Source organism: Homo sapiens, chromosome 8, assembly GCF_000001405.40.
Source record: "Homo sapiens chromosome 8, GRCh38.p14 Primary Assembly".
In the NCBI taxonomy this organism is placed as follows: domain Eukaryota; kingdom Metazoa; phylum Chordata; class Mammalia; order Primates; family Hominidae; genus Homo; species Homo sapiens.
This window is the reverse complement of record NC_000008.11, coordinates 112,246,897-112,267,222: the sequence shown is the minus strand read 5'-3', so window position 1 is coordinate 112,267,222 and position 20,326 is coordinate 112,246,897. Positions and strand designations below refer to the sequence as shown.

Below are 20,326 nucleotides of genomic sequence, written 5' to 3'. Positions count from 1 at the left end.
TCATAATCCTAAAACTTCTTAGAATCAACAGAATAGAATATGAAAGGAATCTTGACATTAATCATTCTTAATGATAACATAATAAATACAATGTAACTAAGGTGTTCTTAAGGTCTTCCATGCCTTAATTCATTCTTAATCTTTAATCCTGAATCTCCAAAATATTGGGAAAAGTGAATTTAAAAAAGACAGAAAGAGGAGTAGACAGAGAGAGAGAGAAAAAAAATAACCCAGATTTACCTGGAGAAATTACCCTTTTATGAACCAAAAGATTTAGCAGACTAAAAGGCATGTTAAGTATACTACATGTTTTTTATCTCCAGAAAATAAAGTGTAACTTGTAGTTTTCGTTTTCTTAGCTGGTAGAAAGTTTTTTAGCCAATTCGCTGCCCAAATTAAGCTTAAATCCTGTGCCTCAAAACAGTTATCACTTGTGTGACATATATAATCTTTGTAGTGTTTGAATCTTATGTTTGTATTTAATCAAAATACATTTTTAATGAAATTGTTATTTGTGTTTCTAAGCTGTCTCAAGTCTTTCTGAAACATTTTGGCTGGCATTATAAAGAAACGATAATATTATGTGTGCACTTACACTCATGGGCATGAGATCAGTGCAACTCATAGGATCTCATGCTCAGAAGAGTCTTGTGCTTAGAGTTTAATGCTCTGTGATAGCCATCTCAAAATTCTTAATAATTTTATCTTCAAATTAACATTTTGTAATTGAAGTCCACTGGAACAGTGCAGCATATTCTGAGGGCTTGGAGCTTCTGCTCATGTGCAGTCTGCCTTGTTGCCTTCTTTCTTGTGTCCTTGGGATGGGTCTAGACCTTTTGCTCCTGACAACCTGTTGCCCCTGGCCCTGCATGGCCTCCCCATTTCCATCCCTGCTCTGCAAAACGTGACACCCTCCACCCAGCTCATCCATTGTGTCATCAGTAAAGAGAGGTTCACATTGCACTATTGTCCTACCTCCTTTTAGGGGTTGGATGCAAACGTGAGGATCGTCAGAGTTGGATATATTAATGGAGTCTTGGGGCAGAACAGAGCAGTGACAGTCCCTATTTTGGGCTGGAAACATCATCATGTATTGGTCAAGGACTTGGATGGGATGGCCCCTCATACATCTGCATTTCTTATAACAAGCACATTCCAGAGTGAAGGTTGCAATTTCTTGGGGGTTGTCTTTCTGAGTGACACTGCAGAAAATATGCTCTCCATCCAGCATGCCTGATAAATTAGATACTTCAGTAGCCATATATAGGAATATGAATTTCAAATATTATGTTAGAAATCTGATTCTGCAGATTGTTTTCTCTGTGGTCTTATAGTGAAGGTTAGAAGAGGTTACTGCATCAAATTCACTACAACATAATGGCATATTAACCTAGCCTTTTCAGGGGCTAAGTGACAGTTTCTGAGCCATATGTGTAGAATCTGTAATAAGCATACCTGATCATAATCAGGAATTGCCAGTATGTGGTTTAAATATGTTTATGTTTTATGATTAAAAATGAACACGATAACTAATTTTCCTGCTTATATATTAAGTATGCCATATGCTTACTACTCCTCTCCATTAAATACATGCCTCATTAACCATCTGCTCTTCTAATCCAATACTGACAGTAATCAGTTGTGGAGACCCAGGTATACCAGCCAATGGACTGAGATATGGAGATGATTATGTGGTTGGACAAAATGTTTCTTACATGTGCCAGCCAGGCTACACGATGGAATTGAATGGCTCCAGAATCAGGACTTGTACAATTAATGGCACATGGAGTGGAGTAATGCCAACTTGTAGAGGTATGATAATGATTTCTTCAACATTTAAAAATGGTAACCAGTACATATTTTCTTATTTTTATATACAAATTTAAAGTATACTTAAATAAAATTTTTTAGTTCCAGGTTGCATTTATTTTTCTAGTACTAAAAATGGCTGTTTCTTAAAAATTTTATTTTAATATATAGAATTTAAAATAATATTTTGACAAAAACATTATATCTTATTGTGAGTAATGACAATAAGCTTTAATGTAACAAAAATAAGTAAAATATTATGTCCATATTCACCATTGTTATTTATATAAATTGATGAATATTTTCAAAAGAATATAACCTTGATGAATTATAACTGTAATTTGCTGATCCACTTGGGTCAAGTAATTCAAGGGTGGGGAAAAATTCTTTCTATAATTTGGGAAGAGCCGGCCTGAATTATAGAACCGTAATTTTTCTTAAATAATGGGAAAAACTTGTTTTTCATATAATACAATCTAGAATTAACCTGTTAGTCAATACAGCCATAAATTTGCTACTTTATGCTGTTTGTTTTTCCACTGGAAATATTTTTATAAATTTTTTGGCCAATTTTTATGATTACTTGTAGAATACTGTACATGCAATGTCAGACAAATTGTTTTATAATAATTAGATTTTTAATATTTAAGATTTTTCGTTTACGTTTCTATTTAAATGTGAATTAATAGTTTAATATCTTACTGACTTATAATCTAACAAAATTAATAATTTCAATGTGTTTGTCTTTCCTTCTTGATTATTAAGCTTCTGTATCAGATCACTATAAATATACAGTTAGTAAATGAAAATACATGAGCAGACATTTTATGTTTTAGATGTTATTCTATACACTTATTAATTCATACTGATATGAATTAGATATTACTCAACTGTAAAAAGCTATTCAGATATGTTTTTAGTTCTCATAATACAGTCATTCCTCATGTTTAGATTTTGAAGTTGATACCCTTCCTCATCCTTTCATCTCTATCTTATCCAACCTGTCTTTGCTTAAAGATAACTGAAAACAATTTAAACAAAATACATTTTTTAAAAAAATTAAAAATGCATTTATAAACCCTATAATAATAAGGTTTAACATATGAATCTAAGTGGTTAAGGGAACTAACTTGGATATTATACTCAGACATATGACCTGTGTTTTCAAAAATGTCACAGAACTACTTTCAAATTCCATGATTAAGATGCTGATACTATATATAGTTAAACAACCCAAGTCTTGTCTGTCTAAAGGTCATTGGAAAATAATTTTATATAAAACCAATAATTTATCACTTACAGTATACTAGATTGAAGGTCACCCTCTGTTTGCCTTCTCTGAGATGTCAGGCAGCTTGCTATTTTGTAAGAGAATCTCTGACAACCAGTAGCCATTATGTTGCCAAGAAAAAGTTGCATCCTGCAGGGATTAATTCCAGGAATGACTCAGGAACACTACCAGGAGAATAAGATATGTCACAACATATTGTCCTCGAAAAGGTTAAATTAGCACATGTGCTTCTTCTAATGATATTTATTTATATCTTTAAGGCTCAGGATATTTCAACAGCTGTGTCTAATCACTTTTAATGTAATTGCAGCTGTTACCTGCCCAACTCCTCCCCAGATCTCTAATGGAAGGCTGGAAGGAACAAATTTCGACTGGGGCTTTAGTATTAGCTACATCTGTTCTCCAGGCTATGAGCTATCCTTCCCTGCTGTTTTGACCTGTGTAGGGAATGGTACCTGGAGTGGTGAAGTACCGCAGTGCTTACGTAAGTATGATTTCTACTAACAACTGTTACTTAAAATTTTCAAATTTTTCTAGACCAAATATGAGATTGTTAAGCTTCCTTCAATGCCTAATTAGGGTTCAAAGAAAAATCAGTATTTACCAATGTAGCTACTTTTCATGTAATTAAGTCATTATGTTTCTCCTTCTCTGATTCAAAATTTTACACTAAACGGTTTTAGTTTATAAACTTTTCTAATTTTTCAAAATTATTTCTCAAATTAGAGACAGCCTTAAATTTATTCTACTGCTGGAAAATTATTTTTATTTATGTCCTTTTTGTCTTAGCCGAATACTCTGAAATTTGTTCCCAAATCTTTTTCGGCAATAAATCCATGTCACTTCTACATGTTTATTCAAATAAAGTTCTTATGATGGCATTTGTCATGATAATGATTGGGATTTTACATCTAAAATTACCAGGGTAAGCATAGAGATAAAAGGGTTTCTTGTTTGTTTGTTTTGCCTTTTTTTTTTTTTTTTTACAGAGGTTGCTGTATACTATATACCTAGCAAGTGTTACTTCAAGATTAATTTGGAAGAACACAAAACAAAACAAACTCCTCTTGCAGTTTTACATAAATGATTCTAGAACATTATCTGGACAGTATAGTCATTCAGAGAGTTGTCTAGCATTATCCTGTTCCTAGTTCTTTTTCCTTTCCCAGCATGGGATAGAGGAGGACTCTACCTGTCTCATGACCTTGACATTATGCAGAGCTAACTGTCTCAGTTGCTTAGGACCCTCCAGGGTTTTCTCACCTCATTCAAAGTGGAAACTAAATCCCCTACATGCTCATAGGACTTTTTTTCTTGTATTCCTCTGATTTCATCATATCTTACTACTCACCCCTTCATCCACTCTGCTCCAGAAACACAGGCCTTCTTACTTTTCTTTGAGCACTCAGCTGTGCTTTTGCAAGAGGGCTTTTATGTTCACTATTCACTTTACCTGGAAATTTCCTTTTATTCCTTCAGCTTTTTACAAAAAATTTCTTTTTTCAGTATTGCCTTCTCTGGTCACCTTATTTGAATTTCATCACTGACATATAACACTTCCCTTCCAGGCTTTATTTATTCTCCTTAACACTTCCCTTTCACTTCTGATTTTTTCCTAAGACATACTATACATTTTACTTATCTTGTTTATTTGAACTATGTCCTCTACTCAAATGTATACTCCCTGAAAGCAGAGAATTTTTTTTGTTTTATTCACTGCTCTGTCCCTGGAATATAGCATAGTCCTTGGCAGATATAAAAACTATATTGCTATAGTAATTAAAACAGTATGGTATTGATGTAGGTATAGAAAGTAAAACAATGTTATGGAGAACACAGAACCATTTATACATATGTGATATATTATAGAACAAGTCAGTAGGGAAAGAATGGACATTTTAATTAAGTCTGCAAGGCAATTAGTTCACACACATACACACACCCACAACAAATAAATCAGTGCTAGATTTATCAGAGATTTAAATATAAAAGTTTTAAACATTTAGAATCTATCTAAATGACCTCAGGTTTAGAAGGAATTTCTTAAGCAAGATTCAAATGGTATAACCCACAAATGAAAAAGTGAAAAAATATCAGCTATGTTAAAATATGAAAATTTCTCATTATCAGAGACCAATCACAGACTTGTACAATGTAATCAATATGTGTGAAAACAATGACAATATTTAGAATATATATATGTATTTTTTTTTCTAAAATAAAAAAGGCAATACAAGAAAAATGGTCAAAATACCTGGACAGCTATTTCCTCTCAGGAGATTGAAAAAAATATTACACAATATCAAGTATTAGTGAGGATATGGAGTACCATAAACTTCTATAGACTCATGATGGGTGGGTAAATTGACACAGCCACTTGCAAAACTAGTTGGTATTATTTAGTAAAGTTAAAGACTTGCAGAGTCTATTGCCAAGAAATTTTATTTTTAAGTATATGCCCTACTGGAATTTTCATATATGTGCACGAGGAGACATGTTCAAGAATATTGTTGTCAGCATTCTTTTTAGCAGTAAAATAATAGTGCCTATATTTACACACACACACATACATATATGCCATATGCACACACACACACACATGCATACACGTGAATGTAAATTACCAATAAATGTATAGAAATGAGAAACCCAGAATTTAGGATGACACAAAGTATGCTACCCTGGGCCTAAGAAAAGGGATGCTTTCTGGGTGATGCCTACAAAGATTTGCAACAGTATTGGCAATTATCAATTGTTAAAGTTGAGTGTTAGGTTCATGGATAGTCATTTTATAATTTAATGCAAGTTATGTATTTTATAGACCTATTTTAAAAATGAAACAGATATATGTTAGTATAAAATAAATATATATTTTATAGACATAGAATTATGATGACTAACTGAAGACAAACTATTAGGTGCACTTTGGCATTATTTACTTGAGAAGCTTCCTATTAAGTGATGGCAAATACTGGGCATGCATATGGCTATTTTGCTTGCTCATCAGGTCACTAATAGTACATTTGCTTCAGAGAGATATTAACAAGTTAGATTGAGCATGAGAGATAAAACTAACTTATTATTACAGTAGTGGTCTAGACTGCAGTTCATATAACATCCAAAGGAGCTCCTTCTAGGTACTGTAATATGATTTTTAAAAATAACTTTATAAATTTAAGGGGTACAAGTGTAGTTTTATTCCATAGATATATTGAGTAGTGGAGAAGTCCAGGCTTTTAGTGTAACTATCACCCAAATAGTATATACTGTTCTCATTAAGTAATTTCTCATCCCTCACTACTCCTCCCACCCTTCTACCTGAGTCTCTAATTTTGGAGGAAGTCTGTTCCAGTGCCTCAATGTTTTTGTCACGTAATTCGCCCTTAAAATTCTGACTCATGGAGGAGGTCATCTTAGCAAACATCACTATGTTCTGAATAGTACTAGATACTCCAGGTCTTCTCCAGGACAGATAGGGTCAAGTAGGTTTTACAAAGATGAGTATATGGCAGGTTTGCTTGTTTGTTTGATATAACTGAAAAAAAAATTACAATCAAGAAGTTATCTTGATATGGTGTTTTGTTTTTGGTTCTATTGAAATACAAATAGTAATAAAATATGTATTTACATTTCAAATGTAATAACGCTATCTTTGTCTCAGTTGCTTTACGTATATCATTTCTACTACACATAATAGAGCTCCTGGGTACGTAGGATTAGTCATGACATTTTAATAGACAATGACACTTAAACTCAGAAGGGAAAATCAAATTGCAAGGGCACAGTGTTACTCTGCCATCATTTAGGGAAGCAGCTACATTGTCATAAGGCCTAAGGTCATACCGCTAGAAAATGGCAGAGTATGGATTGAAGTTCAGAGAAGGTATACTTAAGAAATGATGGCCTTATCCATTGGGTATGCAAATCCATTAATGTTAGGGACTTTATAAAGAGGAATGCTTTTTTCTCTTTAATTTTGCTTAAAGTATGTTTTCTCATCTTAAAAGTTTATGTCTTTATGAATTAAAGCCATTTGACAAGAAATTCTGTGTCTTAAGTCTCTAAACCTGATATCAATAGGTTGTTTGGTTTATACATGAAAATTCACGGATAGAAATAGATGGAATGACACACAGAGAGGGTACTGGGGGATTGAGGAGTTTAGGTGGTTAAGTCTCCCTCCTTTATTTGAATATGCATAAGAGGAACACTTCAGAAGTAGGTTAGGCAATAAGTTAGTTATAGAAACAATTGCTTCAGCTGAAGTGCCCATTGATGATGTTCACTGGGAAGCATGTATTAATTCAAAATGTACTGAATATACAAAGATTAATAAGACAGTGTCCCTGGCTTTTGGGTTTGATATTATACAGCATTGCCAGAAGGACTTGAATGTCAACTAGCCCAAAGTTTTACAATATCCAAGAGATAGTGAAAATTTAAACACAGTAAACCAATGTTTTTTGTGCTATTATTATACTTGTGTTACTTTACTCTGGTTTCCGATTTCATTTTAATATTTATTTATTTATTATTATACTTTAAGTTCTGGGGTACAGGTGAAGAACGTGCAGTTTTGTTACATAGGTATACACATGCCATGGTGGTTTGCTGCACTCATCAACCTGTCACCTACGTTAGGTATTTTTCCTAATGCTGTGCCTCCCCTAGACCCTCACCCCCTGACAGGCCCCAGTGTGTGATGTTCCCCTCCCTGTGTCCCTGTGTTCTCATTGTTCTACTCCCACTTATGAGTGAGAATATGCTGTGTTTGGTTTTCTGTTCTTGTGTTAGTTTGCTGAGAATGGTGGTTTCCAACTTCATCCATGTCCCTGCAAAGGACAATAACTCATCCTTTTTTATGGCTGCATAGTATTCCATGGTGTATATATGCCACATTTTCTTAATCCAGTCTATCATTGATAGACATTTGGGTTGGTTCCAAGTCTTTACTGTTGTGAATAGTGCTATTCACATCCGTCTGCCTGTGTCTTTATAGTAGAATGATTTATAATCCTTTGGGTATATACCCAGTAATGGGATTGCTGGGTCAAATGATATTTCTTTTTTTCTTTTTTTTTTGGGAGATAGATTCTCGCTCTGTAGCCCAGGCTGGAGTGCAGTGGCACGATCTCGGCTCACTGCAAGCTCCGCCTCCCGGGTTCTCGCCATTCTCCTGCCTCGGCCTTCTGAGTAGCTGGGACTACAGGCACCCGCCACCACACCCAGCTAAGTTTTTGTATTTTTAGTAGAGATGGGGTTTCACCGTGTCAGCCAGGATGGTCTCGATCTCCTGACGTTGTGATCCGCCCGCCTTGGCCTCCCAAAGTGCTGGGATTACAGGCGTGAGCCACTGTGCCAGGCCATCAAATGGTATTTCTAGTTCTAGATGCTTGAGGAATCGCCACACTGTCTTCCACAGTGGTTGAACTAATTTACATTCCCACCAACAGTGTAAAAGCGTTCCTATTTCTCCACATCCTCTCCGGCATCTATTGTTTCCTGACTTTTTAATGATCACCATTCTAACTGGCATGAGATGGTATCTCATTGTGGTTTTGAGTTGCATTTCTCTAATGACCAGTGATGATGAGCTTTTCTCCGTGTGTTTGTTGGCTGCATAAATGTCTTCTTTGGAAAAGTATATGTTCATATCCTTTGTCCACTTTTTGATGGGGTTGGTTTTTTCTTGTAAATTTGTTTAAGTTATTTGTAGATTCTGGATATTAGCCCTTTGTCATATGAATAGATTGCAAAAATTTTCTCCCATTCTCTAGGTTGTCTGTTCACTCTGATGATAGTTTATTTTACTGTGCAGAAGCTTTTCAGTTTAATTAGATCCCATTTGTCAAATTTGGCTTTTGTTGCCATTGCTTTTGGTGTTTTAGACATGAAGTCTTTGCCGATGCCTATGTCCTGATTGGTATTGTCTAGGTTTTCTTGTAGGATTTTTATGTTTTAGGTCTTACATTTAAATCTTTAATGTATCTCAAGTTAATTTTTGTATAAGGTATAAGGAAGGGGTACAGTTTCAGTTTTCTGCGTATGGCTCACCAGTTTTCCCAACACCGTTTATTAAATAGCGAATCCTTTCCCTATTGCTTGTTTTTGTCAGGTTTGTCAAAGATTGGATGGTTGTAGATGTGTGGTGTTATTTCTGAGGCCTCTGTTCTGTTCCATTGGTCTATATATCTGTTTTGGTAGCAGTAACATGCTGTTTTGGTTACTGTAGCCTTGTAGTATAGTTTGAAGTCAGGTAGCGTGATGCCTCCAGTTTTGTTCTTCTTGCTTAGGATTATCTTGGCTATGCAGGCTCTTTTCTAATTTCATTTGAAGTTTAAAGTAGTTTTTCCAATTCTGTGAAGAAAGTCAGTGGTAGCTTGATGGGGATAGCATTGAATCTGTAAATTACTTTGGGAAGTATGGCCATTTTTACAATATTAATTCTTCCTATCCATGAGCATGAAATGTTTTTCCATTTATTTGTGTCCTCTCTGATTTCCTTGAGCAGTGGTTTGTAGTTCTTCTTGAAGAGGTCCTTCACATCCCTTGTAAGTTCTATTCCTAGGTATTATGTTGTCTTTGTAGCAATTGTGAATGGGAGTTCACTCATTATTTGACTCTCTGTTTGTCTATCATTGGTGTATAGGAATCCTTGTGATTCTTACACATTGATTTTGTATCCTGAGACTTTGCTGAAGTTGCTTATCAGCTTAAGGAGATTTTGGGCTGAGATGGTGGGGTTTTCTAAATATACAATCACATCATCTGCAAACAGAGACAATTTGACTTCCTGTCTTCCTATTTGAATACCCTTATTTATTTATCTTGCCTGATCACTCTGGACAGAACTTCCAATACTTGTTTTTATATTTAGCCAGCATTTGGTTGAATGGGAGTGGTGAGAGAGAGCATCCTTGTCTTGTGCCAGTTTTCAAAGGGAATGCTTCCAGTTTTTGCCCATTCAGTATGATATTGGCTGTGGGTTTGTTATAAATAGCTGTTAATGATTACTTTTCATTTTAATTATTTTTTAAAAGTTTTAAATGCTACTAAAAGGAGGTTTAAAAATCCAAGTTTATCGTGTAGTCTTGAATTTCAGGGAAGGTTTTATTTGGACATTAAGGCCAAGATTATGGTAGTCTATAATTAAGGTATACATGCGTTCCAGATGGCTCGGGCATGCCAAGTTTATTCCCATTGTTGTGGTCGATCTCTTGTACATTTAGGATCCCCTTTCACTCTCAAAAGTTTCTCAGTTTGGATGATGCATTTTATGGACACCCAACCTATAATCCTCCTAAGGCAACATTTATACTTAAAACCATTTTGTTGTTGCTGTTTGTTTGCTTCAGAGGGAAGTAAGCTTTCAGGTGCTTAATCTGAACATTTGAAAATCGAGTACATTTGAAAATCGTTAAATTTATAAATTATATGTTATGTATTTTCTTTGCCACAATAAAAACATTGAAAGCATTTGATAAAGGTGCATTTGCCTGTGTTGTCTGATATATTTGAAATCATTTGCTTTCATTCCCCATTACACTTCTTCATGCTCACTCTGCTCCAGCCACACAGGCCTCCTAATCTTCCTCTAGAAAGCTAGCCATGCCCCAGCAGAAGGCTTTGGCAGTGCTGTTTACTCTACCTAGAATGCCCTTCCTTAGGACTTCATCATGGCTAAGTATTTTGTTTCCCTGAATCTTTTCTCAGTGAGAGACACCTTTGCCACCTTATTTAAGATCTTCTCCCACCTCCTAACACACACCACCACACATACATACAGGCTTGATCTCTTTTGTCTGAATGATTTTTTTTTTCCCACGGGACTTACCACTTTTTCACATACTACCTTTTCTTAAACTTGCTAATTATGTTTATTGTTTGTTCACTTCCCTCACAAATGCATAAACCCTATAAAAGCAGATTTCCTACAGTATTTGTTTACTGACATGTTCAAGTGCCCCAAACCACCTAGAATAATGTTTTTCTTTAGTAATTAATAAATGTAAGTTGAATGGAATAATCTAATCAAAATTTTTAGAAAGCCTGTCACGTTGATCTTTCCAGTGCTTGTTGTAGAACATTGACATTCCATAGTTTTGCGTAGATTTAGATTCTGATGGCCTTCTTTTCTTTTAAAAAATGCTTTAAAAATACCGACAGTATTTTGGAGAGGAAGGCAATAAGTTTCTGGGATATGTGCTTCGAGTATTCAAAGTATACAGGGTACAATAAAACAAATAACCAGAGCTTTTTATATACATGTAAAAGGGCACTGCAATCTGTAGCGTGCAGCCTGGAACATTATGGGTTGCTTCTTTTTGACAGGGACACCTATGAGTCACCTACTTTTTCAAGGCTATACTCCACCTTGGCAGCCAACAAGTCCAAATATGTGGTTTGATTTTGGTCAATACAAAACGACAAAAGTACAAAAATTCTTTCTTTATTAAGGTAGCTTACTAAGTGGAAAACATCGAAATCGAGCTAATTTTTAAATATTATACTGAGTTTTCAATTCAGTATTTATCTGCACATAAGCTAAAAAATAAATTTTTTCATTGGGATAGCTTTATCATGAATAATATATCTCTTTAGTACAATATTCAAATTGATTGTCACCATTTTTCCAAACTGTGTACTCTGCTGTATACTAAATCTTTGATATAAGCGTCTTTCTTTTCATTTCCAGCAAAGTTTTGTGGTGACCCTGGTATACCTGCCCAAGGAAAAAGAGAAGGCAAAAGCTTTATATACCAGTCAGAGGTTTCATTCAGCTGCAATTTTCCTTTCATATTAGTGGGATCAAGCACCAGAATATGTCAAGCAGATGGCACTTGGAGTGGTTCATCACCTCACTGCATAGGTAATATTAATTAAAGGCTGATTATGCACAGTAACTGTGTAATTAATAGGGGTGACATTTAATGGTTTTCTTTATCCTATAACCTATAGTTGGCTTAATATAAAAACAAGTGTAAAATATAGAAGCAATTAGAAGGCACTGGAAATGAATATTGGTAGAAAATACAACATTAATTTTAGCACTTTAAACTTCCAGAAGAAACACTTGAAAGAATTTTGTTGTATATCAGTAAAATGAAAAATAAAAATACTTTCAGGTAGTGACATTATTAAGTACTAACATTTTACTTAGATTTTTATAGTTAATAAAGAATCTTCATATGAAATTAGATTTGCTCCAAAAATATCTAAAAGTTATATTGATTTCAAAATGATTGTAACTATATTTCTGTAATCCTAAAATTAATGCCATATTTGGTAAACTAACCAAATAATCTGTCATTCAAATAAACCGACACATCTACCTACCATTATTATGCCTGAATATCCTATGGGTGTCAGTAAAATCCAAATTATCAAGTCCTGTTTCTGGGAAAAAACTGTTATTTCTTCAAAGAAATATTACCCTACCCCAAATCATAGTTTAGCAAGGTCTTTGGACAAATGTTATATGCATGTACACTGCTTTCATATCCTTTATCTTTCCTTAATTTTACATCCACAGAGCTAGTTGAATGTCAAGTGCTTTTATATCGGAAGGGTTCAAAGTTCAAGAATTTCATAATTCATATCAAATGGAGTCTACCTGACTTTCTTGCTTCAAGATTAACAGGCTTCTGTCCATGGAGAGATGTTATTACATTTACATTATTTATTATTTCCTAGATCCTTTGTACCAAACCCCAGATTATTTAAAATTGTTTTCTGTGAGAGAACTATATCTATTGTAAATTTTAAAGGACTAATATCTTTTTAATCTTCATTTTAGAGCCTACCCAAACCTCTTGTGAAAACCCAGGTGTGCCTCGGCATGGATCTCAGAACAATACATTCGGATTTCAAGTGGGTACTTTAGCTATGTCCATTTAGCATCATACTAGGTCAGAATGCGTCTTTGGTTCATATGCATATAATCTTGTTGACATAACAAAAAGTCATGTTCTATCTGCATTTATAAACACATAAAAAGGGTAACAGACAGCAAAAGAGTGGAAGTAAAGGAAATTAGAAAAAAAAATTTTTTTAATAAAATTTCCTAACTGGAACATAAAAATAAATTAAAACAAAAAGCAAAAAATAGCAGTGAGCATAGGAAAAATCCATAAGCATTAGAGAGTTATATATAAGACAGTAAGAGTGAGGGAGTAAATGAGTAAACTCTACAGGAAGATATGGGGACAGTGAAGAAAAGTAAAGATAAAAGAGTTTAAAGGAGAGACTTCTGAGACAAACAGCAAATATATAAAAATGCGGGTTATTCAATAAAGCACTAATTGTATATATGACCTTGCTGTCAGTGTTTAAAATGGTGGGAAATTGCTGAAAAATAACCAGAACCTGTTGCTATACAACACATAGTTGAATTGTTACATTAGAATTCTTTGGCATGCCCAGTCATGTGTGGCTGACTTTCTTGTTCTCTCTTTTTCCAATTTAGATTTTAGGTAGAGATTCAGCAACTTTTCAGTTACAAAAGATCCAAGGGGAGCCAAAGTGCATACTGATTCCAAACAGAAGTAGCCAATTTACACATTACCCAATTGCCCTGTGTTGCCGGGTTTTGTAAATTGTGCTATTCTGTGTGAAATTCAGCGTGAACCTGAAGACCATCCATTTCTAAAGGAAGGGCTCATCTAAAGGGCCATATTTTGTTATTAAAAATAGTTTCCATTTATCTACAGTTCAGGCACAGTATGAACATTGATTTGATAGCATTTCCAATTCTTCTGATTTCCTTCAGTCCTGTTCCAGATAATACAAAAGTGTAAAAATGAGTCTGTCTCCATTATATTGGTGTTTTTAGAGAACTTTAGATTAATATCTCCATAAAAGGTTTTATCAATTGATCTAAATCCTGAAAAATGGGCAACTAGCTGCACAGCACTAGTCCTCATCATATGTACAAAGAAACTGAAACAGAATGTGACTTGCTTTGTTCGCAGATCAAGTTGGTGACATATTCTAACAGAATACAAAATTGTGATGTTAGTGTCGGTGTACTAAATCAGGCTGATTTTCTAAAGAATATGAGTTTTTTTAGTAAATATTATTTGAGATATTGGAAATGAGAATGATTAACGTGGAGTTTAAAACAGTCATCCAACAAAATGAAGAGAATCACTAACTCTGCTTTCTAAGGATTCTATTATAATCATTGAAAAATGCTGTAACAAAGTTAACCTAACCCTGAATTTATGTTATTTGGGGTAATAAACAGGTATTAAATCATTATATTCTATATGAATAAATATAAATAGACTAGATTCCAAATATGGTAAAGTCTACTTATATACAATTATATAACTATCTATTAAAATTAAATGTATTTTGTGTCTTACATTAGGGAGATTGGCTTTCTTACATGCATATGGCAGGTATGAATGTGTATATATATATATATATATATATATATATACACACACACATACTAAATCTGTTAACTAAATCTGTATAGATCTAACACAATAAATAGTTATATAATTCTAATTAATACTAATTTATTGATGAATTCCAAATGAATATGGTTTTATATGCAAAAGGCATCTTGAGCCATTGAGAAAAACGATTGCTTGCAAGTAACAAAAAAACTGTTTGGAGCTACTTAAAGCCTAAAGGCATTACTGTGCAGGTATGTCCAGACTCCCAAAGAAAGAATCCATGTGAGACTCATCAAACCCAGAGTGTAGGTACTGGCTTCAAGTACTCAGTTTTTTATACTACTTTCTGTTTATCTACTTCATATTTTCTCTCCGCAGATTGGCCATATGGCCAAGAGTGAATCATTTCTATTTACATCTCAGCTACATACAGAAAGTGATCATCTCAATCTCAATTCCAGATTTCCAAGGAGAATCAGAATGTCCCAACTTTCGTATTTATGTTGGTTTCATTAGGTGGCCGGTAGTGAGTTATGACGCAAAATCACAGCTGTTAGGAAGCCCATTTTTGGGAAGAGCAAGAGAAAGTTATGAACTACAGAGGCACTCAGATCATTTTCTTAATTTTCTCTTTAATGTGTTCATTTGTTCACTCTCTTTTTCTTTATAGATTTATATAGTAGATTTTGGGACATCAATAATTATTAACATACAAAATATATTACTCATTGCTAGAGATGATGAAAACTCTATCATTGAAAAAAGTATTCAACATAATTTGTCTTTGTATTAAAATATTGTAAATTGGAATAATTTTACTAAAAATTGATAGTGAAGAGAATAGCTGTCAAAATAATTGATGCAACATCAGGATTAACCATGGAGTAAATGACAAGCACACATACACACTGCTGTATCACTTGTTAAACTGAGCTCTGGGCAATGGAAAGTACATTATTTGGATTTAGGGCTTGTTACATAAAGTTATTATAAATATGAAAAGTTTTTAATCCGGCTCTTTAGATATTTAGCCTCAAGATATTTAACCATAAAATATTTAACCCTACCAAACTAACCATAGTGATTATATATGATTTTCAGTTTGTAATTGAAATTAGTATCTTAGTATATTGAATGAGGTAAATATATGTTTCATAGTGTTTTATTACCTTAAATGATAAATACAGTGGCATGAATTCTGAAAGTAAAAAAAAATTACTTTCAATTAAAATCTTCTTGTTTTGAATATAAATAATAATAATTAAACTTTTCTTGAACCAGGAAGCCTAGGACCAAAGTTAATGCTCAGTCAGCATAAATTACTTGCATCTGAAGCACATCTGTTATACCTTCATTTTTTATGATCTTGCCTTTCTGTGTCAATTTTATTTATTTTAATTTACATATATCTTTTATTAGAAGCTACCTCAATTTTTCTTGAGTAAAATGTTTTGTATAAATACATAATGAAAAACGTAAATTTATTTTTAAAAATATATATTGCAAAAGAAGCATATACGTTTTTGAGACCTTAATAATAAATAAATTTTGAAAGTTCTTAAGACCCATGCTGGATACTCCAGTTAAACAAACATGTGATATTAGAAGTCAGATTCAAATAAATGCATTGATGAAAATTCTAGCATGCCAAGTGTTATTTGCCATGAAATCTCATGGAAGGGAAAATAGAGCTTACTGAGAATGTTCAAAATGTATACAAAATGTCTATTATATTATTTGCTATATAAATTTTATGATTTAGGAACTAAGATATAACATTTAAAATAGGAGAATAAGGTGTTAAAGAACATAAGTGATGTTTACTGATTAAACATGTCTTAAAATTCTATAATGCATTTATACACAACATGGTACTTTAAATCAATTTAAAGTGATTTTTATTTAAACATTGGTTGCAATTAAAATTTGATATGGATTGTTTTTAATTCTTGTTATAAAAACTTTCAATATTAATTATTGCAATGTTTGATATACAAATAATACTTTTTATTCGTAAATATTGGTGAAAAAATTGTACATAAGTTATTTTTCCAAGAATTTTTTGAATTTGATAATATAAATTTTTAGAATGTTGTTGCCTATTTTTCTACAAATAAGCAAATTATACTATGCATGTTGGAAGTTGTTCAGTCAGAAGGATATATCAAATTGGGAAAGGATAAAGAACTATTTAAAATACACTATTAAGTGGGTTCATCACTGACAAAATTATTTATTAATGCACTGATATTTAGAGAAAATTTTGTTGATTTGACTATAACAAGTTCTGGATAAACAATTTAACCAATTATTAAATCTATAAATATTTATTAGATATTAGGTATAAGTATTTGTGAATTTGACAAAAATCTTATTAGATGTGTTGGTGATACACAGAAAAATATTAAAACAGATTTTATTTTAATTCTATAATATTTGGTTAATATTTAAAGCAGTTGTTATAATGATTTTGAAAAGCTTACAGGATTGAAGAAAAATGTCTTACAAGTAAAAACAAAGTGTATGTAGTCCAACATATTTCTTATACCTGACCAATATAAAGGTTTGATGAAATAACCCAAATATACCCTTCAAAGAAAAAAACAGAATGATCTAACCTTACATTATCTAAAGTATAGAGATGATATCACTGCATTTTAAGAACTGATAGACGTTAAATATTCTAAAGTTAAGTAATCAAGTAATTTTATATTATTTTGTCCCCATTCCTTCCATTGCTCCAACATTTTCAAATCACATTTTTAAGCTCAAGGTGCACAAGGATGAGTACACACAGTCTCCGGCCTAGAAAGGCTAACATTTCTAACAGAGATGGTTTTTCTAATTTCTTGCTGCAGGGAAGGGTTTCTACAGATGATGGCTGAGCTAATTCTTTTAGTGTAAGAGCTAGGAAAGGAAAGTTGGGAGAGGCATTCCATGCAGTAGGAATAGCATGAAAATATGCATGCATTTCAGGATACAAAAGTTCAATGTTAATTGAACAGAATTTGAGTAAAGTAAGCTGTTAATGATGATGCTAGATAGATTCTCAGTTATGGAGGCCTTTGTCATGTTAGCTCAATGTAACTTTATCCTAATGGGTGAATAATAAGGTCAAACTTTCGTGTTGCATAGATCACTCTGACTTTAAGGCAGAAAATAAATATAGTGGATCATGAAGTGAGAAATGGAGACAAATTAGAAGATTATTATAATTGTCTATTGTGTAGTTCTCAAAGTGTAGCGCCTAACCGGCAGCAGCAGTTTCACCTGGGAACTTGTTGGAAATATAGATTCATGGACCTACCCCAGATCCACTGAGTACGAAACTCTGGAGGGGGGTACTCAGCTATCACTGTTTTCATAAAGTCCTTTTGGTGATTGTGATGTCTGCTAAAGTGAGAACCAAAGCCTATGGAAAAGATATTGGGGAGTAAAACTGGATGTAAACTGGAGAAAAAAGGAAGACGATACTTTGAAAAGGATTTAGAAGGTAAAATTGCCAGTTTTGGTGGTGAAGTGAATGAAGGGAAAATTTATTAGTGACAAGTGACACTATTAACTGGGTTCTAACCTTAAGAAGGATTGCTGGATTGATAGAGATGATGGATTTTGTAGAACTGGTTTGACTGAAGAATAGAACTGCAAACTGTATATAACATAATCTAGCCCATACTGAAAAATCAAAACCTGTACCACCATTTTGCACAACTTCAGAAAGAATGTGAAAGGCGTGCTCTGGAGCACAAGTCAGGGGACTCTGGTTTTAAGGAATAAAATGCAAATGGTGCTTCTTGGAATCAATCCATGTAACAGCCTAGAGAAAATGGGGCATCCAGGGATAAGAGATCTTCTAGAGGCAAAGGTGAGGGTTCATGGAAGACACAGCATGAGATAACATAAAGAAAAAAGGTTGTTGTCAGATAAAGAATTTTGGAATTTAGTATTTCTGGCCTAGTATAGTTCTGGGTAATAATAACAATATGAAAAATGGTGGAATTCAGAGTCTGAAGTTTCAAATGGAATCTTGGTATCAAATTATATCATCTTAAGCTTAGCTTCTTATTGTCCGCTCAAGAGGGGGTAGGAATTAAGGGGAAGGCAGAAAAAAGGATCTGAGTGATAAGTCCTAAAACTGTGATTGAGCCTTCTCAGACTGCAATTGCTGGAGAAGTACAAAGTGGCAGACCCTAAATATCCCTTATCTCATCCTCCACCTCTAATCATCCAATAAATCTTGTTGATTTTTTTCTTGTGATTGTTTTGAGGAAATGACTTTTTTCCCCAGGCTTACTGCCACAAGTTAGTACAGTTTTTATCCACTCAAATGTAAAATGGCAGTGCCAGCCTCATAATTAGAATTACTACTATTCTTCTAAATACCATATCCTGCCATTTGAGACCCTTCGGAAACTAATTCTTACTTATGTCTCCAATTTAGTCATCATGCCTATAATTTATTTAAAACTTGAGTGTCATCCTGGGGTGGAGTGGAGTATAAATTCTATTTCATTTAATCCTTAAAACAGATTTCAATACAAATAATATTATCATCATTATTTATAAATGATAAATTAGGTCTCAAAGAGGAGATAGGAGATATGACTTATTCAAGTAAAGTGAGATCCAGAATTAAAACTACATGTACATTACTCTGGTGATTTGTTTTCTTGTTTACTATATACCCCTGCTTCCCACTTATCCCAAACCTCTACCTACCCTGCTCACTTTGTAAACAATAAATGCCAATCAATCTAATATACTGTTTTCCCCTAAAGCAAATGATATATATTGTAACCAACATACATTTCTCATCATGTTATTATCTTTTCCATTTTTCTGTAAGTCTTTTGCAAACTTTAGTGTTTATTACCACCACCCAAAGGGCTTGTTAAAACAGATTATTGGTTTTTCTAACCTAACAGTTTCTGATTCAGTGTGTCTGGGGTAAGGCCTCAGAACTGACATTTTTAACAAATTCCTAGGAGACATTGATATTACTGGCCTAGAGACTACACTTTGAAAGCCATTGTCCTAGATATTCTCCTAATTACTATACCCTTAAAAGCTAGTACAAACAGTATATCTTCCATTGTATATTTCCGTTATCACCACCACCTTCAGTAACCACCTTTGTCTCTAATCTCATATTGCATTTTTCACCTTCAATATTTATTTGTTTCTTATGTGGTTAGCTATATTTATTTCCATATATATTTTTATCAAGCTTCATTTATTTATCTTTATCTAACTATCTATCTCTCTATCTTGTATTCATATGTAGCTTGTTGGATTTTTTGGTGTCTTAAATATTTTCTTCAAATTCCCATGGCAAAAAAGCTTGGTTTCTATGTATGTACTAAGGACCCAACTATTTGATGATGATATGTAAACAAATAAAGCCAGGATTTTATTTTTTAGTTTTGAATTTTTCCCATTTTATTTTAAATCAGATTTCAATTATTTTTTTCTTCCAACTTTACCATACGGAATTTCACTTGATAACATTTTCTCACTCAAGCTCTGTTTGTTGCCATATTTGAAGTTGTAGGGGAATATTTTTTTCCTCTCTTTAATTTGCTATAGGTAGGAAGTGTTGTACAGTTCCATTGCAAAAAAGGACACCTTCTCCAAGGGTCTACAACACGCACCTGCCTCCCTGATCTTACGTGGAGTGGGATTCAGCCTGAATGCATACGTAAGTATTATGGATAAGAAATAATGCTATCATGGGTAAGAATTTATATGCATTTTTTCTCCCAAGTATTCAAATACATTTACATCTATATGTGTATCAAATTGACTTTTAGATTATAAAACA

The 20,326-nt window shown here is 33.4% G+C and overlaps 1 protein-coding gene across 10 annotated transcripts in view; it reads left to right on the top strand.

Annotated features, from left to right (window-relative positions):
• The window catches only part of CSMD3 (CUB and Sushi multiple domains 3), a 1,214,012-nt gene that overhangs the window by 1,169,717 nt on the left and 23,969 nt on the right, over positions 1-20,326 (top strand). For all 10 annotated transcript variants that reach the window (NM_001363185.1, XM_017013010.2, NM_052900.3 and 7 more), the window contains 5 exons: positions 1,633-1,812; positions 3,411-3,584; positions 11,796-11,969; positions 12,897-12,970; positions 20,092-20,203. In NM_001363185.1, the coding sequence (NP_001350114.1) occupies positions 1,633-1,812; positions 3,411-3,584; positions 11,796-11,969; positions 12,897-12,970; positions 20,092-20,203 (714 nt within the window). The remainder of the gene's footprint in view (positions 1-1,632; positions 1,813-3,410; positions 3,585-11,795; positions 11,970-12,896; positions 12,971-20,091; positions 20,204-20,326) is intronic.